General features: G+C 43.5%; 1 protein-coding gene across 2 annotated transcripts in view; it reads right to left on the bottom strand.

Annotated features, from left to right (window-relative positions):
* Nucleotides 1-26,127, bottom strand: part of IGFBP7 (insulin like growth factor binding protein 7) — a 79,613-nt gene that overhangs the window by 3,439 nt on the left and 50,047 nt on the right. For both annotated transcript variants that reach the window (NM_001553.3, NM_001253835.2), the window contains exon 2: nucleotides 6,613-6,722. In NM_001553.3, coding sequence (NP_001544.1) covers nucleotides 6,613-6,722 — 110 coding nt within the window. The remainder of the gene's footprint in view (nucleotides 1-6,612; nucleotides 6,723-26,127) is intronic.

The following is a 26,127-nucleotide window of genomic DNA, read 5'->3' on the forward strand; positions in this document are numbered from 1 at the left end:
TTAAAAGGCAAAATGTTTTATTATATAAACTCTGGAAAATATACAAAAGAATGAAATTCACTTGTAGCTCCTCGATACATATACATTTAGCAGCTGAGTTACAGAGTACAAATATTTTAAGCCTTGTGATAATGGTGAGTTTTAAAAAAAAAAGGATATACGAATTGTTTGTTCATTCCATCCCAGATCTCCTTTAAGAGCCAACCTGACATTTATTGATATTACCTTTGTAATTAGAAAGGATTTACAACCTCAAATAGCTAGTTTCCTTTTCATTTTCTTCTATAATAAAGCAAATCTTAATAAAGACCAGATAATAGTGTGTATATATAGACACCGTATGTATAAATATAATAAATATATAAATAAATATATACACTTTATTAACTTCCATCTCAGTGTTGCTTTTCCCATGTGGATCCCACTCCTACCATGTGTTTTTTGGTACTCTGCTGTTGTGTCGGCTTCAAACCTACACTGTATTTTCTCAGCTTTATGATGCCAGGACTGGGATTCAGCAAACCACATGTGATCTAGGCCAATTCCTGCTCTAGAAAAAATATCTTGCATGATTTGGAAAGCCTGGCTTTTTGCATTTTTTTTCTGGAATTTTCCCACATTGCCACTATTAGTGAGAGAAAACCACGTAACTTAATGTCTTTCTCATAAATGCTGTGAAGACAAACATACTCAATAGGTACCTTTTCCCTTAGTTTCCCAAGTAGCTGGCAGAAACGGTTTATGCTAATACAGCTTTTGAAATAGTTACTTAAAAATGGGTTGTAAGAATATTTTGGTAGAAGTATTAATTTGATCCAAGGTCTCAAGTAATATGACTCTGACCTTTATTTACTGAATTTCAGAATCATATGAGTTTTATGTGTGACCAAAGCAAGAAAATAAACACTGCAGCACTGAAATACTGAATCTCAGCAACTAAGCCTCAAATCCCATAGCTCTTAGTAACAGCATTTTATGCTAATTAACCTGATCCACTATGGAAAGGGAAATGTATCTTGTTAAATATAATATTTAACATAAATCACAATATAGATATACTTTATTTTTCCCTTCTTTTCACAAGTGTTGGCATGGCGTATTTTAATTAATGTTACGTAATTATAAAAGGTTATACATCATGTAGAAAACATAGAAAAAAGTGCCAAGAATTTTCATATGACAAATTTTTATATGTCAAACTCTCCCTTATTCGTGTAAGGGGATTCTAAGTGTTGTTAAGTATGTGTTTTCTTTTTTTTTTGAGACAGAGTCTCGCTCTGTCACCCAGGGTGGAGTGCAGTGGTGCGATCTCAGCTCACTGCAACCTCTGCCTCCGCCTCCGGGATTCCAGTGATTCTCCTGCCTCAGCTTCCCGAGTAGCTGGGATTACAGGCATGTGCCACCACGCCTGGCTAATTTTTATAGTTTTAGTAGAGACGGGGTTTTGCCATATTGGCCAGGGTGGTCTCGAACTCCTGACCTTAAGTGATCCACTTGCCTTGGCCTCCCAAAGTGCTGGGATTACAGGCATGAGCCACTGTGCCTGGCCAATAAATATGTGTTTTCTAGTTAAAATTGGAATTAAAACTAAAAAAGAGAGGTTAATATTCAGTGCTAGTAAAGATGCAGAGAAATGGCACTTCTCCATTTCTGGTGGGAGTGTGAATTACTACAATCTATTTAGAAAGTAATCTGACAATGTCTGTTAACACTGAAACAAATATTTTGACTTAGGTAACTGTTGGGGAATCTATCTTATAGCAATACAATCACTAGTATGTATGATATGTGTACTTTGATGCTTAAAGTAGGTTTTTTAAGTTAACAAAAATTTGGAAACAACAGAAAAAATACAGAACTGATTTAATAAATTACAGTATTCATACTTGGAATATTACGTAGCTGTTGAGAAGCAGACTTGGACGGATGTCCATGAAGTATTTGTTGAGAAAAGCGAGTTTCAGAATAATTTACTGGCACACTATATTCTCATTTCACCGTAGGGATATATGTTTGAATATGCTTGGATATGAAAAAGAGTGTGGAAAGATACAAACCAGGGCAGTTCACATTGGTTACCTCAGGCAGGAGGAGGAGGTGGGGGGAGATTCTCAACTCTTTCTTTATACGTCTTTGGATAATTTCTGCTTATTACTATTACCTTAGAGGTCACTATTTTTGATTAAAAAATATTCTTAGAGGTCAAGGAAGCCCTAATCTGAAGAAATATTCAGGCAAGAAAAGAATTAAACAGAGAGCCTCTCCGTCTCAGAAACAAATATTGGGAAGGTGTTTTGCTTTCGCTGTGAGCATCATCTTTGATTTAAAAGGGTTAAGTCAAATATGGCTATTTCAGTTCACGTTCCCATTTCAAAATATTGCCCTTCGAATCTTTCTAGGCTAGGAGTTTGCTGAAAGGTATGGGGCTTGTTAAAGCCAGCTTTCCTTACTACCAGTAAGGAAAGTAAAGACCACTCGCCAGGCTGTGCCAACCGTAAGAATTGCCACCGTAGTCTCAAGTGTCATGGAGAAAAGGCTTGTACCATTAATTCTGCTGTTGCTAAGAATCCTTGAGCAAGAAGGACATGCTGTCTTTATTTGAGCCTCAGTTTCTCTTGTTTTACAAGTGAGGATTCTAATAATCTATCCAAAAAGGTGTTCTACTCTTAAATTGGATTTGAAACACACATGATAGTAAATATGTTTGTATTCTTAACAGTCTGGTTACAAGGACAGCGATGAGAAAACAAATACCCTGTTTAATTATTTAGGTCAGTGACTTCCCAAGTTTCCTTAGTTTTGACATGGACCAAACTATCGTATATCTGGAATATACAAAAGTTTTAGGAAATGACACCTTCATAAGTGGTAAGTGTGATGCCTTAACATAGGTTCTGTTCTATTTTTTATTTTTTATAAGAACATGGTGGTTGTGATCGCTACATTAGTTCCAGGAGTCACTGATGGGTCATGGTCTGCAGTGTAAGAAACATTGCTTTGGGTCATGCATGTGGCAAATTACATTATGAAGGTAGAGGAAAACCGGCAGAGCATCACAGTTGGGTTTTGCTTGTTCTGGAAAGTCTGCAGAAAAAATTGTTTCTCTCCTACTTCCTCTTCACTTCTTTACTTCAGCACCCATCTCGTTGACTGACATAGTGGGTTTTTTGGTTTTTTTTTTCAGAGACAGGATCTTGCTCTGTTGCCCAGGCTGGAGTGCAGTGGTGCCATCATAGCTCACTGCAGCCCCACCTTTTGAGCTCAAGCGATCCTCCCACCTCAGCCTCCCGAGTGGCTAGGGACTACAGGTGCGAGCCACCACACCAGCCTCAACTGCCTTGGTGTTTCTGACTAGCCCTGAGGACAAGCACTCAGGGAGGCCTTGTCTATTGGGATCTGCCCTGTACAGTCCTAAAAGGGAAAAGATTCCCGAGGCAGACGTATTCCTCTGGTATGTGAATACTGTAGCTGGGATTGGGTAGAGCAAGGACTGAAGAAATTATTCTTTGCCAAGATTTGCCAATAAGGTCACATGCCCCAGGACGCTTGGGTGACCCTCGCTTCTCATTGTGTAAGTATCCCTAGAAAACTGTAGAGAACTGCAACGGAGCTTTTCATGGGTATTCCTCGGAACATTATTTCTCCACCTCCCCACACCCTGAGCAAACCAGCAATCTCCAAATTAGCAGTGAGGAACGCCTGCAGTTCTTGCAGTAAGGATGGAGGGGAACCCATCCACGGACTGCATTTCTGCTCTTACTCTTGCTCCGCCTTCCTCTTAAAAACATAACTGATCGGGGTGAAATTTTATTGCTCCTTTAAGAGAAGCTTCACTGTAAAGGATGGTATAGTAGTGTTGCCTCTGCCATCACCCCCACCTCAGGCATTTTCTGGTACCTGTTCCCAGATTTTACACAAACCAGGCGGATTCACGCCGGTGCCAATGTCAGTGGCCGCATCCCTCCGGCCGCATGGGGGAGCCAGAGCTTAGCAGGTGACCCGACCTGGGCTTGAGCCCTTCGTGGGATTTTCACAATGCAGCAGGGAGAAGGGAAGCCCTTTCTTTCCTCTGGGGTCTTTAAGCTGTAATAAAAATGTGAGTGGAGTTGATATCTCCCACTGCATAGGAAGCTTTCTGAAGCAGAAGAAAATGAGACTAGTATATTGAGAGCAAAGAGTCAAGAGTTAGAGTTCTGATGGCGTGTGTACCTGGATGCAGGGGCCCTTGAGGCTGGATCCCGCCCCGCTTTTTGTTTTGCCTAGGCTGGTTTCAAATGGGCTGGTAGAACTTGCAACAGAAAGAGCTCCGACTGCGGGAGCCACAGTCCTCCTGGAGTTCTAGAAGTTGCTTCTCCGGTCACACAGAGAGCAAACAAAATAGTCAAGGGAGACTATCATCCACCTTAGAGCTTGCTGGAGAAGTAAGGCAGCTTAAAATGGATGTCTGGTTATGCCCTTTTACTTAAACTAAGTTCCTTTTTTGGTAGCATGAGTTTGATAATTTTTTAATTTTTATTTTTCGTAGGATAGTTGTGAGGCTCAGCAATTCAAAATGTATAAAAAGGACAAAAACGACCAGGCGCGGTGGCTCACACCTGTAATCCTAGCACTTTGGGAGGGCAAGGTGGGCGTATCACCTGAGGTCGGGAGTTCGAGACCAGCCTGACCAACATGGAGAAACCCTGTCTCTACTGAAAATACAAAGTTAGCCAGGCGTGGTGGCGGGTGCCTGTAATCCCAACTACTTGAGAGACTGAGGCAGAAGAATCACTTGAACCCGGGAGGCGAGGTTGCGGTGAGCCGAGATGGTGCCATTGCACTCCAGCCTGGGCAATAAGAGTGAAACTATGTCTCAAAAAAAAAAAAAAAAAAAAAAAGACAAAAACGTAAGTGTATGGTATAATTGTGAGGTGTTAGTTGATGGCAAATAAGTGTTTTCTTTTCCCTTCTCCATACATGCTGAGATGATGTTGTCCTTCAAATATGAAGATAATTATACAAGATAATGCCACTTGAAGGGAAAAATTTCCAGGAACAGTAGCTAATGTCTACTGAGTGCTAACTATGTATCAAGTAATTTTTACTTGCATTACTTTATTTCATCTTTATGATAATTACATGCTACTTTTATAAGGTAGAGAACAGAGTTGAGGCTAACAGCAGTGGTTTTCAGTCCAGGGCAATTCCCCAGCTCCACACCCTTAGGGGACATTTGGCAATGTCTGAAGATGCTTTTAATTCTCACGACAGGGGGGATGGGGGAATGCTACTGTTATATAGTGGGTAGAGGCTGGGGATACTGCTAAACATCTTCCAAAGCACAGGCAGCCCGCACAACAAATAATTATCTGGCCCCAAATGTCAATAGTGCTGAGGCTGAGAAACCCTGACTTGCAGAGAACTCAGCCACCCTGGCTAAGGAATTCACACTCTTTTTTTTTTTTTTTTTTTTGAGACAGGCTAGAGTGCAGTGGGGCAATCACAGCTCACTGCAGCCTCAATCTCCTGGCTCAAGGGGTTCTTCCACCTTAGTCTCCTGAGTAGCTGGGGCCACAGGCATGCCTCACCATGCCCAGCTAATTAAAAAAATTATTTGTAAGAAGGAAGTCTCACTGTGTTGGTCAGGCTGGTCTCAAACTCCAGGACTCAAGTGATCCTCCTGCCTCAGCCTCCCAAAGTGCTGGGATTACAGGCATGTGCTACTGCACCCAGCCTCACACTTTTTTTTTTCTTTTTTTCCATTTGGGAAGTCATTTCAAAGCTGATTTATTAAAAGAATATCATGCTTTTTCCACTTGGGGCTGGGGCCAGCATTTAGCAAAATTCAGAAAGGAGACATTTTTTTCTTTGCTATTCCTCCTCTTGTTCCTTTTTAATGCTCTGTTCTGGAGTGGTCTCCTCTGTCCCTAACTTATGGTTCTACAGCCTTGGTACTTAGGAGAATAGATCCCACCTCATTCCTTCTATCCTACTTCCAAGTGCCCTTAAAATGTACTCATCCATCTCCCAGCACTTAGGGAATCTGAAAAAATAATCCATGCTCCCAGGAGAAGGCTACAGGGCTTTGTGTCCTTTTACCTTCTTAGCCGAGCCTCCCAGTAAAATAATAATAATGCCTCCAAGCAGACAGGATCTAAATTATCAGCTAAATGTTCAGTCTTAAATGAGGAGACTGATGCCATCACAAACAGCTTGGTGGGGGCTTGGAGGTGGTATTTTGGGACAGAAAGAGAGAAACGTACGCTTTTAACCCCTATGCTATACTGTCTCCACTGAGGGCGCAAACACAGACACACACACTTTCACTCGCACCCACATATGCACACACATACACACACCACAGGTGCACACACACCCTGAAGGTGGGTTCAGGTGTTCAGCATTATTGTTCTTCCAGTTTCTCAGATTCTAGGATGCTGCTAACAAAAGCATGGCAGGGACTGGTTTTTGTTCCATGAATCCAGGGGAGGGGCCTGTATGACTGCCCTAAGGCTTCACCTTGCGGGAGCCGCAGTCAACAAAGCAGGCTGAGGATTTAACGTTTTACCATCCTTGTGCAGTGCAAGAGAAGCTTGTCAGCCTAGGATGTCTCTTAAAGTCTGTGCCACAGACCTTGTTCCAGATGAGGACAGGTGTCGGGATTCCGATGACCTCACAGCTCAAGTACACCTGGGCACCAGTGACATTCCAGATGTCCTTGGGGGGCGTCACTATGGAAGGACCTGCAGGAGAGGGCACAAAGCCAAAGTCATCTTTTAAACAGTCCTTCACATGAGTCAGCATCTTAGGGAGAAAATAATAATTTTGTTTATGAGGCCATCCCCTTGATGGATTATCTGAAGCAAATTTCAAAGACCACACTGGCTTCCTCCTGCCACCAACATGATTTTAAGGTCCACTTTGGGAATGCATAAATCTAAACAAACAAAAACAATTAGGAAGAAAAATGTGTTATTAAAATTTTCTTCTTCCCCAGACCATGCTTAAATGAGTGCTAATTTACCAGCTGTTTTTTTATTATCTGGGACTTTTCCAGTAGTAATAAAATTTTAGTTCCAAAATGTTCAATGTTTTTCTTCTTTTGTTTACCACTATTTCTATTTTGGGTTGGAAAGGCAACAAGCAACCGCTCCATGGGTAATGAAGAAAAAAAATCTAAGAGAATATTTGAAAATGTGCTAAGCACCCAGACAAGATGGAAGTCTCTGCCTCAAGAAGCTTAGGATCTAAGGTTGAAAAGGGTGATGAGGCAGGGAAGAAAAGAAACATGTGGAGTGCTGTGTGCGTCAGGGGATTGGAAGGGACATCTTTATTTTTAATTTAATTTTATTATTATTTTTTTGATACAGAATCTCATTCTGCCACCCAGGCTGGAGCGCAGTGGCTTGATCATAGCTCACTGCAGCCTCAAACTCCTGGTCTCCAGCGATCCTCCCACCCCAGCCTCCCGAGTAGCTGGGACTATAGGCGTGCACCACCATGTCAGTTAATTTTTATTTTTTATTTTTGTAGAGACGGGGTCTTGCTATGTTGCCCAGGCTGGTCCCGAATTCCTGGCTTCAAGTAATTCTCCTGCCTCAGCCTCCCCAACTGCTGGGATTACAGGTGTGAGCCACCATGCCTGGCCAGGAGGCACCTTTGAACAGAAGAGGCCCGGGTGTCGAGGAAGGTGGTACAGGGGTCCTTCTTCCAGTGTGCTCAGGAGAGGCAGCTGGTAAGAAGGAAGAAGAGTGACTGATCTATTGGGTGTGACCAGGGTCCCCAAGGAGAGGGCCCTTTCCCAGCGTTCTCAGTGTCCAGGTCCCTGGCAGGAGGCATTGGCAAGTGGGGGGCACCCTCAAGCCACGGCCTAAATAGAGTCAGCAGGTATGGGGCCACTGAGAGAGGCCAGAATGATGCTTCTCCATTCCCCCAATTAGGGAACACACCCCCCACCTTCTGTATCATGGCACCCTCTGGAGAAGTTCCCTACTCAGAGTCAACACAAACCATGTGTATCCTTTTTGCTATGAAAGTGGTATGACTCTCTGGTCCTGGGTTAGCTAACTATGGCCTGTGGGCCAAATCTGGCCTGCCATCTGTTTTTGCATGGCTTATGAGCTAAGAATGGTGTTTGGATTTTTGTTTTTTTAAATTAAGAAAAATTTTATTTTTTTGAGACAGAACCTTACTCTGTTGCTCAGGCTGGAGTGCAGTGGCATGATCTTGGCTCACGGCAACCTCCGCCTCCCGGGTTCAAGCTCAAGCAATTCCCATGACTCAGTCTCCCAAGTAGCTAGGACTACAAGTGCATGCCCAGCTAATTTTTGTGTTTTCAGTAGAAACAGCATTTTGCCACGTTGGCCAGGCTGGTCTCGAACCCCTGAGCTCAAGCGATCCCCCCACCTTGGCCTCCCAAAGTGTTGGGATTACAGGCGTGAGCCACTATGCCCGGCCTGCAGTTTCAAATGGTTGAAAAAAAATTAAAAGATGGATATTTCATGACGTGTGAAAATTGTAAAGGAAATGTCCATAAAATAAAGTTCTGTTGGAACACAGCCACACTTATTTGTTTCCTGTGGTCTCTGGCTGCTAGAGCAGTTGTGGCTGAGACTGTATGGCTAAAATAGTCACTGTCACTGGCCTTTTATAAAGAAATTTGCTGATTCCTGCTCTAATCAACTGAGGGAGACTGATGCCTAAATAAGACATTATGGGAAAGTCTCAGGACTTCAATCCTTTACACATTTTCCAGAGCTGATGCAAGTAACCCCCTGGGTGATTTCTGGTTTGGCTCTGAAACACAAAACTGTGGAAGCCAACAGATACCGAGAGAGCGGGTGCTTGCTGACTGCGCCTGTCCCCTGACGGCCTGGCTTCCCGGCATCTGCAATAGAGATGTGAACACCAACTTTTTAGTTACTGGTAATTAGTATGTCACTTCTGCTAATTCTGAATGCCAGGGTTCAATCACCAGGGGCCTTCAGAAAGACTTGGGACCGTCCGCAGAGGAGGGTCATGGAGCTGGCAGTCTGGGATCCTCATGTGGGGCAGTGTGAGACTCCAGAACCTAACCTGGCTCTTATTCCATGCTTAGCATGGTTTCTTGAATGAATAAATTAATGATCCCTTCTGAATTTTAAATCTCTGCTGACTTGGGTCTCCTATCCTAGCAAAGTACAAACTGCAGGGTCATCTTGCATCAGAGTCCTGGGAAAGGGACAACCTCCCCTTTAGGACTGGAAAGTTTTCTGGCATAATCAGCATTCAAAGGACATAAAGTCTCCCCTTCTGCAACAGGCTATTTCCAGCACAATATTAATTTCTTGAAACAGAAAGGAAATGACCCCAGTGTGCAAGATTTTCCCACTCATCTAAAGCATTAGAAGCTGATTTTTTTTAATCTCATGGGATATTTTTATTTTTGTAGGAATGTGCAAAACAATCAAAAGTTTGGAAAGCTCTAAATACATTTCATGCTTCCTTCCCTCCAAACCATAGGTCTGAATAGGAAGCATATATCCTGGCCAGGGGGCTTGGCTCTTCTGCTGCAAACATGAATGTGGTGAGCACAGTGGTGCAGTATTTACGTTTCTGGCTCTGTCTCAGACATTTCCTAGTCTGGATGCAGCAATACAGAACCCTGCAAAGGGCTGGGCCTCACCCTATCCCGGGCTTCCTCTAGGGCTATGGGACCCCAAGGGTTTGGACACCACAGAGCCGGATCTGGCTGGGCTTTGAACTGCCTTCGCCCACCTCTCTGATGGCCCTCATGCTGCTCTGTTCTCCTTCCCACACACAGACTTGGCAGGAGGACTTCAAAGCTCAGGGGATCTCAAAGGATTGTTCTGAGAAGAGCATACCAGTTTTCAGAGATTTGAGGGGGAGCTCGGGAACAAAGCTGCTTCTCTCATATCCAAACCACACAAGGAATGCAAGACAATTTTATTGTGAGGATCTGAGGGCCTCAGCCCTGCCAAAACCTACTTACTTTAACCTGTGTCCATCTCCCTATTGCCAATACAGGTAGCAGGGTCATCGGTCTTGGGCAGGGGGCAGATTCTGGAGTGCTAATGGGCAAGTTCCAGCCTGATTTTCTGCCAGAGATCTTGAAGACATGCTATGGATTTTTCCCATGGGATTTTAAAACAGATGTTCTTAGTTTTAGTATAGTCCAATTTATCAAGTTTTCTTTTCTGTGGTTAGTGCTTTTCGTGTCCTGTTTAAGAAAATTTTTGCCTAGCCCAAGGCTATGAAGATCTCCTGTTTTCTTCTACAAGCTTTATGGTTTTACTTTTCACATTTAAGTTTTTGCTCCATCTTGAATTAATTTTTGTGTGTGCTATGAGGCAGAGGTCAAGTTTCATTTTTCCTCCCCTAAAAGGACATCCAATTGCTTCAGCACCATTTGTTGAAAAGACCATCTTTTTCCTAATGAATCATAATAATGCCTTTGTGGAAATCTGTAAGACCCACTGTATATGTGTGCGTCTATTTCTGGACTCTCTGTTCTTTTCCACTGGTCTATGTGTCTATCTTTGCACCAATAACTATGGCATAATTTAGAAATTAATTGTACTAAAGTTGAAGCACTAAATAGAGGGCAGATCTAATATATCTGTTCCCCCCCAATCATCTTACTATTCCAAGAAGCAGAACACTCTAGGACAAGTAAGAATTCTTTTTTTATTTTTATTTTTGTAGAGACAGAGTCTTGCTATGTTGACTAGGCTGGTCTCAAACTCGTGGGCTCAAGTAATCCTCTTACTTCAGCCTCCCAAAGTACTGGGATTATGGGTGTTAGCAACAGTGCCCAGCCATGAATTCTTTAAAAATACCTGAACCCAGGAATACTTTGAATGACAGCCATCGTCAGGGGATTCAATATTAGGACAAATCATATCATGGGTTCCTATTTCTCTCTCCCAATGCTTGGAATACCTTAGGTAAACAGGCTGAGTCAACATTTGGATTATTCTAAGAATGTAAATGATTTTGTCAATCCTGCCACCAGGCTATTTCTAGAATTCTACAAGACTTCCATACCACAAAAATCTATAATATCCACTGACTCCTGCTGGGGTGATGTAGTGGAAGGGCAGAGGAGGGGCTGTTAGGACCAGTTTGCTGCACAACATTTACAAAAACCTTTGACTATTTCAAATATCCTTGAACAAATGCTGGGTTTACTAACACAATGAAAAGTTTAACAAACAATACGTAAACTGGAAAGTGCTAAGAAATAAGGCTACAGAACGGCCTTTTGGTTTTGAGATGCAGTCTCTTGCAAAGGAAAGTCACATCAATAAATTATTAGTGTAATATTCAAGGGACCAAACAGACCTCTTAGAGTACATGGAGGCGGGTTGGCCTCCACGTGACTTCCTGTGTTGGAAGAATCTGTAGGGATTCAACATTCTTTCCAGTACTTTCTTCAGAGCTGATACCCAGTAGGATACCTATTTACTAAGCTCTGATTGGTTCTTTACCACTTACCTGGTCTGGAAATTCCCCCAGAATATGCAGAGGGAATGGAAAAACTCCTTTTTTTTTTTTTTAGATGGAGTTTTGCACTTGTTGCCCAGGGTGCAATGGTGTGATCTCGGCTCACTGCAACCTCTGCCTCGTGGGTTCAAGCGATCCTCCTGCCTCAGCCTCCCAAGTAGCTGGAATTACAGGTGCTCGCCACCATGCCTGGCTAATTTTTGTATTTTTAGTAGAGATGGGGTTTCACCATGTTGGCCAGGCTGGTCTTGAACCCCTGACCTCAGGTGATCTGCCCACCTCAGTCTCCCAAAGTGCTGGGATTACAGGTGTGAGCCACTGCACGCGACCAAAATCTCTTGATAAAAGCAAATTACAGAAGTTTTAGAGAAAGGTAAATGAAGATACATGGTGAGAAAGAATAAGCAAGCGACTTAATGGTGACCCACAGGGACACCAAGAGGACAAGTCTTGTATAGAAGAGAAGAGATGCTGAAAATGTTTTCGGTGGATACAATGCCAGCCCCAACAATGCTGCACTCTCCTCCCCGACTCTCAAGAACTATCATCCCACACATTCCATTGATCAGCAATTTCACTGCCAACAATCATCTTGAATTGCAGGTCTGTCCTGCAATTCAATCCCTGACAGTTCTGTTCTACCTCAGGAGAGCACTGTACTCAATGACTCTGTACCAAATAACTTCTAACTCTTTCCACTCTACCTTTCTTCCAAGAAGGGCAAGGCAGATCGAGAATTTATTTCTGTTTTTAAGAATAAAGAAATTTTTAGGTCACTCTGAGCTAATTTTCTCATACAGAAAGCTCAAAATCAGTCCTCAAGGCCAGGTCAAGGGTAATAACAACATTATCATCTAACTCATACTCAGTGTTTGGATTCCGTTTAAAACAGGTCACAGAATTCTTAAATGTATAGGGACAAACATCAGGATAGGTCCAATTATTTATTTATCCTTGCCCTTGTTCCATTAAGAGCTCCAGACTGCTCAAACATCTGTCTAGCAAACATCCTGTTCATAGAATAAATGACTGTGCGCTGCCTCCCTCTGCCTTGTACCCACCCTCGGCAACTCCAGAAAGCAACCAAGTCATCTGCAGTGCTGCCTGATGTAAAGAGATGTCCACCCAAGGTGGACTACCTACATTTTTCTATCCAGATGACTGTACCCAAACCAGGCTACCCCACTTTCCTTTTACCTTACACACTCAATTAATTCTCATTCAATCTCTTTAGATCCTTCTCAACCCTCTAAATTCATTTTCTTGCCTTCCCTATTTTTTATAACTCTCGCTCAGTAACTTTAGAGTGTCTCTTCCTTTTGATCATTCCTTAGAGGGTCTCTTCTTTTTGAACATTCCTTGAAGGGAAAGAAGGGAGAGAGGATGATATGGTTTGACTGTGTCCCCACCCAAATCTCAAATTGTAGCTCCCATAATTCCCATGTGTCATGGGTTGGGGGGTACGCGGTGGAAGGTAATTGAATCATGGGGACAGGTTTTTCCTGTGCTGTTCTCGTAATAGCGACTAAGTCTCATGAGATCTGATGGTTTCATAAAGGGCAGTTCCCCTGCACATGCTGTCCTGCCTGCTGCCATGTAAGATGTGACTTTGCTCCTCCTTCGCCTTCCACCATGATTGTGAGGCCTCCCCAGCCTCATGGAGCTGTGAGTCCATTAACCATCTTTTTCTTATAAGTTACTCAGTCTCGGGTATGTATTTATTAGCAGCATAAGAACAGTCTAATACAGAGGAGGTGAAGGAGAAGGAGAAGAAAGAAAAAATGAAGAAAGATAGCCAGATCCTGAAGGAAGTTATAGCAAGGAAGAAGAAAGTTCTAACCTTGGAAGAAAACAAAAATTCACTACTATGAAATACATCCTTGGAACAAAATTACATTTGTACTCCATAAGTTTATGCAAATAAAAAATAAACATTAAAAATAAAGTAAATTAAAATTCAATTTAATGAATCATATCACCTTAAAAGTACTTAGAAGTCTCCTGCAGAATCTCCACCTAAGTCTGCATACTCCTCCTTTGCTACATTTTTTCTTTTTAGAGACTGGGTCTTCTCTGTCACTCAGGCTGGAGCACAGTGGTGCGAACATGGCTCACTGCAGCCTCAATCTCCTGGGCCCAAACAATCCTCCCACCTCAGCTTCCCAAATAGCTAGGACTGCAGGTGTGTGCCACCACGCCTGGCTAAATTTTGTATTTTTTTAGATATGGGGTCTTGCCATGTTGGCCAGGCTGGTCTTGAACTCCTGAGCTCAGGCAACCTGCCTGCCTCGGCCTCTCAAAGTGCTGGGATTATAGGTGTAAGTCACCATGCCTGGCTTCTCCTTTGCCCCCCTCCGCCCCCCTTTTTTTTTTTGAGACGGAGTCTTGCTCTGTCGCCCAGTGTGGAGTGCAGTGGTGCCATCTCGGCTCACTGCAAGCTCCACATCCTGGGCTCACGCCATTCTCCTGCCTCAGCCTCCCAAGTAGCTGGGACTACAGGCATCCACCACCACTCCCGGCTAACTTTTTGTATTTTTAGTAGAGACGGGGTGACCGTGTTACCCAGGATGGTCTCGATCTCCTGACCTCGTGATCCACCTGCCTCGGCCTCCCAAAGTACTGGGATTACAGGAGTGAGCAACAGCACCCGGCCTCCTTTGCCACTTTTAATTAAGTTCTAGACAAAGGACTCACAGACTACCAGATTATTTTAAGAATATTTGATTATAATCTAGAAATAGGTATGTTCTGAAAAAGTACTACTGATACAGAAAAGGTAGTTTTATAGATGGATGGATTTAAATTTGGAGTATTATGAGTTGGTTCAGAAGAATTTAAGAAAGGCAGTTCTCACAAAACACACAAATATCATGAGGAAAAGACTTTGACATGAAATTAATTTTGAATTTGACCAGCAATTCATTCCAGCTGATTTTATATAAAGTCTTGGTAGTGAGGACAGAGTTAAAATGTGTTATCCTATAAAAAGCACAGCAGGAACAATATTGAAGAAGTATGTGAACAATTTCCTAGTCCCTTACAGAGCACAAAGCACTCCCCAGCCATGACCTGAGATGTCCTCATGATGTTACTATTTAAAAAAAAGAGACAAAAGCATTCTTGGGGACAGAACACTTGGCTCTGAATCCTTGTCTACAATTTATAGCCAAAAGACCTTGGACAAGCCACTTAACCACTTTTACAAGATGAAGAAACTAGGAAGTGTCTAAGAATATCCTCTTTGGGTTTGGAAGTAAGTGAACCTATCATGAATGTGTCCTAGAGCTGGGACATAGATGTCAAAGATGCTTTGACATTTATGAAGTTCTGAAGTCTCACTGTCTGGGTCTGGAGCTCTCATTCTCTGCAAATCAGTTCAATGCATTTCCTCACCTACCTAAACACGATGTATGTGACTCATAACATGGTTCACTTCCTCAGGGATTAAAAAAATAGAGCTTATAAAGGTATCACCCTTTACCCAGTTAGCCAATTTTTTTTTCATCTGAAAGAGCTGTGTAGAAGATATTAGGAGAAGTCATGTTTGAAAGCTAAATATACTTGAATTAAGCCTGGGAAATGGTCAAAAGTCAAATTACCCCCAATAATCATTTCTGTCCTCCAATATCATATTGTACTATATATTTTTTGCTTCGTTGCTTTCTCATTTGCCCATCATCTCTTCCATTTTTACCAATTCACTCTTCTATGTCATTTCTACCCAAACTCACTGTCTGCTCCCAGCAGTCCTGCTCACCCACCATTACATGTTCATTACCCCTTCCAGCACCTTTGCTTATGCTGATGCCCTTACCTACTTGGAATATCTTCCCTCCTCTTATTTCTTATCACACTTTATTTGACATTCTAAGACTGAAGTTTCATTTCTCTTTGACATTTTTTGCGGCCTGACAGCTTCAGGCTCCCCCTTATTTCTTCTCTAAAATCCTGTTGGTTTCGGTAAGTTCCACAGAGTGTAGTGCATCACTGTTTTCTAATGCTTTCCTTAGCTGGCCTAATTGAGGATGCCAGCATCCTGTCGGAATCAGAACAGAACCAGGAACTACGGAATCAAAAGATCTTCATGTTCATTGGAAGGAGACAGAGCTCAGGCTGTGTGAAGTGGGTATAGGGCAGCAGTAACTTCAGAACAACATAACATGATTAGCCAAACAGAAGTGAAAAGATAGCCACTGTCTTGAAAATGCACCAGTGTACACATGGCCAAAAGCGTACACCTCACCAAAGTGGTGTTATAACTATCTTATTTATCAGCTGGCAGATTATTAATCATGATTTTCTTTAATCTTTCACTTGACTTTCTCTTGCCATAAGCAGTGTTTCTTGGCTACTAACCACTCACCAACCAATTAGTATATGACCAGGAGATGCAAATTAATTTGAATATACATCACTTGAAGCAAATCCCACCGAGATGGGTAGGTCTGCTGGAAGAAAATGATTATCAATTATCCTCACACCAAAATCATGCTGGGTTATACTATTCACATTATGGTTCTCACTGAACATTTATTTTATTTTTATTTAAGTTTTTTTTTTTTTTTTTGAGACAGAGTTTCGCTCTTTCGCTCAGGCAGGAGTGAAGTTGTGCAATCTCGGCTCACTGCAACCTCTGCCCTGTGGGTTCAAGCGATTCTCCTGCCTCATCCTCCTGAGTAGCTGGGATTACAGGCAGCCATCACCATGCCCGGCTGATTTTTGTATTTTTAGTAGAGATGGGGTTTCACCATGTTGGCCAGGCTGGTCTCGAACTCCTGACCTCAGGTGATCCACCTGCCTCAGCCTCCCAAAGAGCTAGGATTAAAGGCATAAGCCACTGCACCTGGCTTTTCAAAAGTTTTTATAGACAGAGTCTTGCTCTGTCACTCAGGCAGGAGTGCAATGGTGCTACGATCATAGCTCACTGCAGACTCCAAACTCCTAGTCTCATGGGTCCTTCTGCCTCAGCCTCCCAAGGAGCTAGGACTACAGGCAAGTGCAACCATGCCCGGCTAATTAAAAAAGAATTTTTTTTTTTTTTTTGTAGAGACAGGGTCTTGCTTTGTTGCCCAGGCTGGTCTCGAACCCTTGGCTTCAAGTGATCCTCCCTCCTCGGCCTCTCAAAGTGCTGGGGTTACAGGCATGAGCCACTGTTCATGGCCTCTTGCTGAGTACATGCTAACATGGCTAAGACATTTGAGTATGGGGACTTCTCCGAGTTATGATAGATTTGCAAACAACACTCACCTTGACTCTTGATGCTGGGTCCTGAAAATAGTGTGTGCATTAATACCAAATAAGGGGAAAATCAGGGTTTAAGAAGGACCTCAGATACCACATATGGAGATAGAGAGTTCAGACAACTTGGCAAAAATCCCTAGATTGAGATGAGATTCTGATAACACATTAAAGGGAACAGGAGCACACAAAAGTACAAAACGGGAAAAGAATAGTAGGAAGGCACTATGGCCAAGATGGGGAAGGGGATGAAACAAGTGGAAGCTTCCTGATATTAAATAAGGGGAAGCAGTAACTGTATGGCTAATTAAAGAGCAGAGCCATCTGCCAAGGCAAGTCATTTAGGGAACTTCCAGAGGCGGGATGATGTAGCAGCTGAACCCTGGTATGGGAATCTAGCACACGGTCTCAGGGGTACTGGCTGAGGACAGCAGGGGAGGAGAAGAAAGTACAACAGCTTAAGCAGCATAGGCCAGATTTAATCTCAGGCTTTTAGTTTAAGGCAAATTCATCTAGTTATGGAAGCTACTGTTAGTCATTTCCACTTTAGTGTGAATGAAGAACCAATAGTTTATAATAATGGGACCCTGCCAAACACTGTTTAGGGCAAAAGTGTGTAAGAACTGCTTCCTCTTCTCTAAATATAATCTGTTGGGGTGGTGTTGGGGAGGCTTAGCGCATTAAGAGTAAGAACAAAATGCTGGGAGGTAATAGACTATAGTGACTTTGGAGCGTGGACTTGGAATCAGGAATTCTGCTCTACCACTCCTGAGTTATGCAACATTGCACAAGTTATTTCACTTCCCCTGCTTTATTCATCTGTGAAATGGAATGATAGTATCCCAGTCATTAGACCATCAAAAGGATCAAACAAGATACAGCCATTAGCACAGTACCTGGCATGGGGTAAACATTCAGTAAGTATGAGCTGTTGCTTTTCATTTCAGAAATTAGACTTTCATCAAGGAAGGTGAAAGACAGGGACCTGCCTGAGGAGAGGCAGGAAAACGCTGGCCTGCCTTGAATAGTGAGCATGCGGGCCAGCTCGGGAAGAGGATTCGTGTGTGGTGTAGGGCACAGCAGAAAGCAGATGAGGTGGGGCCTCACCCTCCAATGTGTCTCTGAAAGTGGGAGTGTCATGATTCAAGTGGCATTTCCCAAGATGATTTTGGAGGTCTCCGCATCAGGATGGGACATGGCGGGGATTAAGGCTCTAACTCAAGGTCGCAGCAATGAGAAGACAGAGAAAAGGGGAAGACTTGGGGGATTATTCAGGAAGAACTAACACTACCCAGTAACTGACTGGATGTAGGAAAGAGAGGCATGATTTAAAGGCTGTGAGCCTCAAAGGTTCCAGGAGGCTGCCGCACCATGAACAGAAGCAGGGGTGTCAGTCTGAGGAAGGTGCTGGATTGAAGAAGGGGAAAGGGTGGACTTGGGTTTAAATTTGCTGAATTTCAGGTATCACCTGGGCCATGAGGAGGCACTGAACCCCAGTGGGGAGACCAGAAGTGCCAAGGCAAGCACTGTCTAGCTGACATTTTAGCCCTGGGAAGGCTATGTGGGGTCCTTTGGGTGGAAGGAAGACAGATTTGGCACTCCCTCTCACTAGTTTCTCCAGAGGGAGTTCCATCAGCTCACTGCTGACCACCTGGCCCGTCCCCACCCCACCCCAGGTAAAGCAGATAAGTGAATAGCACGGCCTTGCTTAGCTTCCAGGCACGTATTTGCAGGGCCAGTCCATCTAAGAGCAGACCATTCAATACAATGCTGCCCTGGTGACCGCGTGCCCAGGTCTTGTGAGTTGAGTTCCTGGCTGATTGCTAGTTACCTCTGGATTAATAAGACACCTCGTTTTGGGTCCAATCTTTGATGCTGAGAATCTTCGTAGGGAGCATGAAGTCTGTTTTTCTCAAGTGGACATAGTACTCAAATATCTCACTACGATGACTGTCAATCTTGTGATATCTCACAATTATCACTGTAATTTTGAATTGACCACAGAACATGCACAGAAAGTTGCTTCTTGCAATGTGTTGGTTGCTTGCAAACAAATCTCTTATTTGATGATGCTTTCTTTTCTATCTTTTTTTTTTTTTTTGAAATGAAGTCTTACTCTGTCGCCCAGGCTGGAGTGCAGTGGTACAATCTCGGCTCACTGCAGCCCCTGCCTCCCAGGTTCAAGCAGTTCTCCTGCCTCAGCCTCCAGAGTAGCTGATACTACAGGCACACACCATCACACCTGGCTAATTTTTGTAATTTTAGCAGTGATGGAGTTTCACCATGTTGATCAGGCTGATCTCGAACTCCTGACCTCAGGTGATCTGCCCGCTTCGGGCTCCCAGGGTGCTGGGATTATAGGCGTGAGCCACCGCACCTGGCCCTTGATGATGTTTTCTTATTCTTGTCCCCTTCCTTGTATGGGTCTAGCATTAAAAAAAAGTGGGGTACTGACAAAGAGTCTGACTCCAGGGTGTGGTTCTTGCCCATGGTGGTTCTGGTACATGTGGTCTGGTGTCATTCTTGAAGGGACCCTGCTACTGCCATGAAGCAAATCCATGAAGGACTTGAAACCATGTTCAGGTGTGCAAGATGGTGAGCTCGCTCTGGTAACCATGTGATAGATGAGGTAACATGGGGCTGTGCCAACAACATTGCCCAGGGATGAGCTAACGTATTCAGCAGAGCTCCCCTAGGAAGCTGGAATACCTACACTATCATCCTAATACCAGACTGGCTGAGGTCCACACAAGTTGAATCAGCAGGCTAGGTTTTGAATTGGTTTGAGGACCTGGAAGAACTGACTTTATAGAGAGTGCTTTCCCGAGACGAAACTCCCTAGTGATGTTAACATAGCCTTGGAAACACATTTTTTCCACATCTCATGGGCCTGTCCTGTCTGGACTATGACTCACCTTAAATACAAGATATTAAATGTTTTTGCTAGCGCTTTCTTATTCTGCAAGCACTGAATTGGGTGGGAAGTTCCCATAGGAAACTTATTGCTAACCACGTGGATGGTCACACCTGATTCTGGGATTCCTAGAAGCCTAGATAGTGAGTTTCCCTAGGAAATTTCTCCTTCTTTTCTTGGGATGAGATCTTGTTACATTGCCCAGGTTGGTCTTGGACTCCCAGGAGTCCAAGCTCAAGCCATCCTCCTGCCTCAGCCTCCTGAGTGGCTGAGACTACAGGTGAGCAACCACCAAGCCTGGCTAGGACACTTCATCTTGGAGTCCCTGCCCACTCTCAGGCCCCTACATACTAACCCAGTGCCTGGTATCCTCAGACATCAGGAAGGGTTTCTTGAACTACCTGTAAGGGAGGCTCACCCATCTTTAAAGCTTAGTCTCTATCCGTAGGCCCTGCGCTGACTAACAAGAATTCTAAGCAATCTGCTTAGAAATAGATGTGCTTGGCTGGGCACGGGGTGGCTCATGCCCGTAATCCCAGCACTTTGGGAGGCCAAGGTGGGCAGATCACGAGGTCAGGAGATCGAGACCATCCTGGCTAACATGGTGAAAACCCGTCTCTACTAAAAATACAAAAAATTAGTCAGGCTAATTTTGGTAGCACGTGCCTGTAGTCCCAGCTACTTGGAAGGCTGAGGCAGAAGAATTGTTTGAACCTGGGAGGCGGAGGTTGCAGTGCACCAAGATCACACCACGGCACTCCAGCCTGGCGACAGAGCGAGGCTCTCTCTCACAAAAAAAAAAAAAAAAAAAAAAAAAAGAAGAAGAAATAGATGTGCCCCTGGGGAAGAGGATGTAAGAGATTCCCAAGTGATCTTCTACTTCAGGAGAGCTGGACTTGCTAAACCTCCTCCTGAAAACATTTTGCGACGCTGAAGGCCAAGGCCTGAACTCCCTGGGAGGATGCTACAATGGGGCCAGTTCTGCTGTTCCCTGTACACTCGGACAACCAAGGAGGACCAGGAGACTTAACACCTTGGGTCTTCAGTAGAAGACTAAAGTTCTTCAGCTCCCTGAGAACCAGACACGTGTTTAGCACCACTCTGCCCAAGGAAAAGATTCACACTTTAGAAATCCCAGCAAATCCTTCAGGCGAGGCTGACGGCACTGGAAAGTGCCTGTGGGGTCCGACAGTGCAGTATAGGGTGACCCTCTTAGACCAGGAGCTACCAAGCAGAGGTTTATTCAGTCTCCAGAAGGCTATGCAGGTTGGAAAAGATTTCATAGCGGGGCATCTGCAGAAATAGGCAGCAGACACGCAGAGCCTCAGCCACCGGGTACTGGCCTCTAGGAAGGATTCTGTCCTGCAGGATCTTATCCAGTGGTTGCCAATCCTGGCTGCACACTGGACTCATCTGGGTGTGTCGAAAAAAATGCCCATTCCTGGGCTGCACTCCTAGTTTCTCACTGGTCTGGGCGTGGAGTCTGGTACAGGTATCTTAAAAAAAACTCCCTAGGTAGAAGTACTCAATTAAAACATTGTTTTTGAGTAGGAGATACTCAGATGATTAGGAAGACAGGAAGGTGGAAAGTTAGAAAGGAGGAGAGGGGGACAGATTAGAAGAAATTATGTTCGTAGGTCTTTTTGGGGAGTGAGAGGCCAAGTACTACTTGGGAGGTGCCAGTATTCACGGAGAATTGAGAAAATCCAGTGGGCTGGTTCTGGGTGAAGGGTACAGACACCTGATAACACCAGCACCGCCACCACTTCAATCACGCGGGGGTGGACAGGGTCATCGCGGTTCTCCTGGACTGCTTTCCATTTTCATAAAATAGGGCAGTCATCTCCCACCTGCACCCTGTCCCTCTTCTGCCCTCCTCATTCCTGCCCTTGACTGTTCTGTATGGAGATGGGGCTCTGTGTCTGGAGTGCATGGGTCTTATCTAAAATCCCTCGAACTTGGGAGCCGCCCTTTGCTCATTTCTGGTCCGATTGCCTCTCTGTTAAGACATTCGGTTTGGCTTTAAGCGGGCAAGGAGGAGGTTGAATAAAGGGATCTCTGTGTGCGAATAGCCCCCTTCAGACTTCCATGGAGCAGAGCGCAGGGCGTGATGGCTGCTTGGCGGGCGTCTGGCGTTTGTACTTGCGTATGTTTTTACCCTCCAGGCCCCGGACTCCCATTGTCACAGCCCAGCCACCGTGACTCCCTGGCAGACAACCCCAGACGTTAGCCAGCCGCGCATAACTGAGCTCCTCCTGCTCTTTCTCAGTGTTTTCCTCTTCTCCAGCTTGGCCCCTCTGGTCATTTTCTGAGCCGTTTTGTGATGTCTAGAGACTGAAAAGCTGTCTGTTATCTATCCCATCCTTTGCTCATGCATTCTTTGCTGAGTGTTCTCAGATTTTCTCTCAGCTTCCTAGCAGGATTTCGTGTTTCTTCTCCCATTTTTGGTATTTTCTCTAGTGTCGTCCCTAAGGCTGAACCTGGAATAGAATGCTCCTCTTACGCTAGTGTAGGGCTAGTTCTTCTCGTGTGTGTGTCTTGGGTACTTAGGATAAGTATTACTGTGTGTTTGAGTTCAGCTACAAGACAATTTTTCTGAGTGCTAAGAGGAATTGAGAAGGTGCTAGATGTGGGTGCAGTAAACAGTCTGGGCCAGGAACAGCCAGACTGTTCAAGTGAGGCTCAAAAGTGCCAAATAGCACTGCTCTGAAATCAGGGAAATGGGGATGTCTCTCTGATCACAGGAGAGGAGGACCTGCCTGGTGAGAACTGGAAGGCTTTGCATAAGGAATTTACCATTTAGCAAGGCAAGTCACCCTTGCTTTTATCAGGCTGGGGGACAGAGGAGTCCATCTGGCTGGGTGTGAGCTGTGAGAAATGGGAACAAGGTGAAGCAAAGCTATGCCAATGCACGTGGGACATGTTACCTCACAGAAGGAGATTGCAGTGGCATGGAAATACTCTTTTCTGCTCTTATTGGCATTTTTCACATCAGAAATCTCTGCATTGGCACTTTGGCTAATTTTAGGCAGTGATTATTTTTCTTTAATTAATGGTGCTTTCTTTTTTTGAGTTTTGTTTTTTATTTCACTTGAATTATTAGTTCCCTAACAGTGCAGGGAGACACAGAAAGGAGTTTTTCATGATTTCTATAGTAGATTTTTTTTTCTTTTTTTGAGACAGGCTCTCACTCTGTTATCCAGGATGGAGTATAGTAGCACGATCATGGCTCACTGCAGCTTCGTCCTTTAGGGCTCAAGAGATCCTCCCAACTCAGCCTTCCAAGTAGCTGGGACTACAGGCACATACCACCATCCCTGGCTAAGTTTTTAAAATTTGTTTTGTAGAGACAGGGTCTCCCTGTGTTGCCCAGGCTGGTCTCGAACTCCTGGGCTCAAGTGATCCCCCTGCCTTGGCCTCCCAAAGCGTTGGGATTACATGTGTGAGCCAGTGCACCCATCCGTAGATTGGGTTTTAAAGGTGAGGACATTATGCCTTTACAAGGACTGGGAGAAACTACATGCAAAGTATCCTAACGGTCACGTGAACCTGGGGCTTATTGTAGAACTTCCAAAGGCATTTCTTCTAGAGCAACCATCAGTTCTGGCCTTGGAGATTTTATTCTTTTGTTTATGTAAATGAAAATAATTTCCTCATAAAACAGGGGATTTCAGATTTGGCGCCTCTTCAGAGCAACCATACATAAAAGTAGGAAACTCATTCTTTAGAGGCACGAGGAAGAAAATGTTCTCAGTACTCCCGAAATTGGCCTTGGAGCTGCTGTTTATGCCTCCCTCATCCTTGCTTTTTGGGTATGTTCTCAGGGAGTCTCTTTAACAACATGTGTGACCCTTTTAGGAAGCTGGGCACTTCAAAGATAATGAATGGATCTCTGAACTTGGCTAAGGCAGCAGACTTCAAGCACTAAGACAATGCTTTTTCACAAACACCAGCTGCTTGTCAACAAAGGGGAAGAGGTAGAAAGTAATCCAGGTTTACCTAGTCCTTGGGAAAGGGTTATGGTCTGAGCCAGTACATCAGCTGAACTGACACTTGAAGAGAAGAAAGCTCAAAGTAAACTCAAATAGAGAAAATAAGAACAAGACTCTTGGGATACATATGACTTTGACCTGTCTCCAAATTTCCACCCCATATCCATGGGAGCTTGGCCTCTGTGGAGAACAGGGAGTCATGGTCTGTGGAACAGAGAGAGAGAAGATTAATCCCATTCACAAAAAAGTCGTGGGTAATTTTTTTTAATCAGCAAGGAGCATTTTAACTTACAAAAAAATAAGGAATAATAATTCCATAAATATTTCATAAGGTTAGCACTAGCTAGCTTTCCTCAATGGCTTGTAATGTGCTCAGAAGATGATTAAAGAACAGATCTTTCTGGAACATACTGATCATCATATGTTAAATCAGGCTGGACAGAAGTTCAATTCCTAATAATTAGGGAACATAAAAAAATGTCAGAGGCATCACGTTACTTGACTTCAGACTATACTATTAGGGCTACAGTAACCAAAACAGCATGGTACTGGTACAAAAACAAACATCTAGATCAATGGAATAGAGAGCCCAGAAATAAGCCTGCACGCCTACAACCATCTGATCTTCAACAAAGCTAACAAAAACAAGCAATGGGGAAAAGACTCCCTATTCAATAAATGGTGCTGGGATAACTGGCTAGCAATATGCAGAAGATTGAGGCTGAACCCCTTCCTTACACCATATGAAAAAATTAACTCAAGATGGATTAAAGATGTAAATGTAAAACCCCAAACTATAAAAGCCCTGGAAGACAACCTAGGCAATACCATTCTGGACATAGGAACAGGTAAATATTTCATGACAAAGACACCAAAAGCAATTGCAACAGAAGCAAAAATTGACAAATGGGACCTAATTAAACTTAAGAGCTTCTGCACAGCAAAAGAAACTATCAACAGGGTATACAGACAACCTACAGAATAGGAGAAAATATTTGCAAACTATGCATCTGACAAAGGTCTAATATCCAGCATCTGTAAGGAACTTAAACAAATTTACAAGAAAAAACCAACCCCATTAAAAAGTGGGCAAAGGACATGAATGGACACTTTTCTAAAGAAGACACACATGTGGCCAATAAGCATATGAAAAAAAGCTCAACATCACTGATCATTAGAGAAATGCAGATCAAAACCACAATGAGATACCATCTTACACCAGTCAGAATTGCTATTATTAAATAGTCAAAAAACAACAGATGCTGGCAAGGTTGCGGAGAAAAGGGAACACTTATACTCTGTTGGTAGGGGTGTAAATTAGCTCAACCATTGTGGAAAGCAGTATGGCGACTCCTCAAAGAGCTAAAAACAGAACTACCATTTGATGCAGCAATTCTATTGCTGGATATATACCCAGAGGGACATAAATCATTCTACCATAAAGACACATGAACAGGAATGTTCATTGCAGCACTATTCACCATAGCAAAGACATGGGATCAACGTAAATGCCCATCAATGACAGATCGAATAAAGAAAATGTGGTACATATACACCATGGAATACTATGCAGCCATAAAAAAGAATGAGATCATGTCTTTTGCAGGAACACGGAGGGAGTTGGAGGCCATTATCCTCAGCAAACTAACACAGGAACAGAAAACCAAATACCACATGTTCTCACTTACAAGCGGGAACTAAATGATGAGAACTCATGAACGCAAAGAGGGGAACAACAGACACTGGGTCTACTTGAGGGTGGAGGGTGGGAGAAGGGAGAGGAGCAGAAAGGGCAACTATTGGGTACTAGGCCTAACACCTGGGTGATAAAATATGCTGTACAACAAACCTCCATGACACGAGTTTACCTATGTAACAAACCTGCACATGTACCCCCAAACCTAAAATAAACTTTTTTTAAAAAAGAATATTTAAAACAAAAAAAAGAAAAATGTCATCTAATCATCATCAACTTTAATATCTATCCCTATATCTAGAGCACTAACTTGTACTACTGCTTCGTTGAATTAATTCCTTAAGGGGAAATTCCTATGGAAAATGGTTTAAAAGGTGAGAAAGGACTACAATAATAACTAACTAAATCACATTTCAGCATTGTATAGCATTAAGCAGGTGAAAACATGGAATGGATTAATTTGTCCCAGTCCATCATGAACTAAGTGATGTGCTGGGTCACATGAGGAATAGAAAGATGTTAGGGTTGGACTCCTGTCCCATAGGGATTTACAATCAGGAAGTGAAGACAACTATACATGCAATTATAAAACAGGCGAAGTGCAACTGGTCCTACGATAGAAATACAAATATAAAAAATAATCTCCTGGGCTGTAATCCCAGAGTTCCCAGACAAATGAGGTCTGGCTGCTTGTTCTCGAGTCCAATAACAAGATGCAGACAGACTGGGAAAGGAGGGAGTTTATTTTTGCAACCAGTTACAGGAAGAAGGTCAGAGTAACTCACCAGATCAACTCAAAGTTA

The sequence above is a fragment of the Homo sapiens genome, chromosome 4 (assembly GCF_000001405.40).
Source record: "Homo sapiens chromosome 4, GRCh38.p14 Primary Assembly".
NCBI classification, from domain to species: Eukaryota; Metazoa; Chordata; class Mammalia; order Primates; family Hominidae; genus Homo; species Homo sapiens.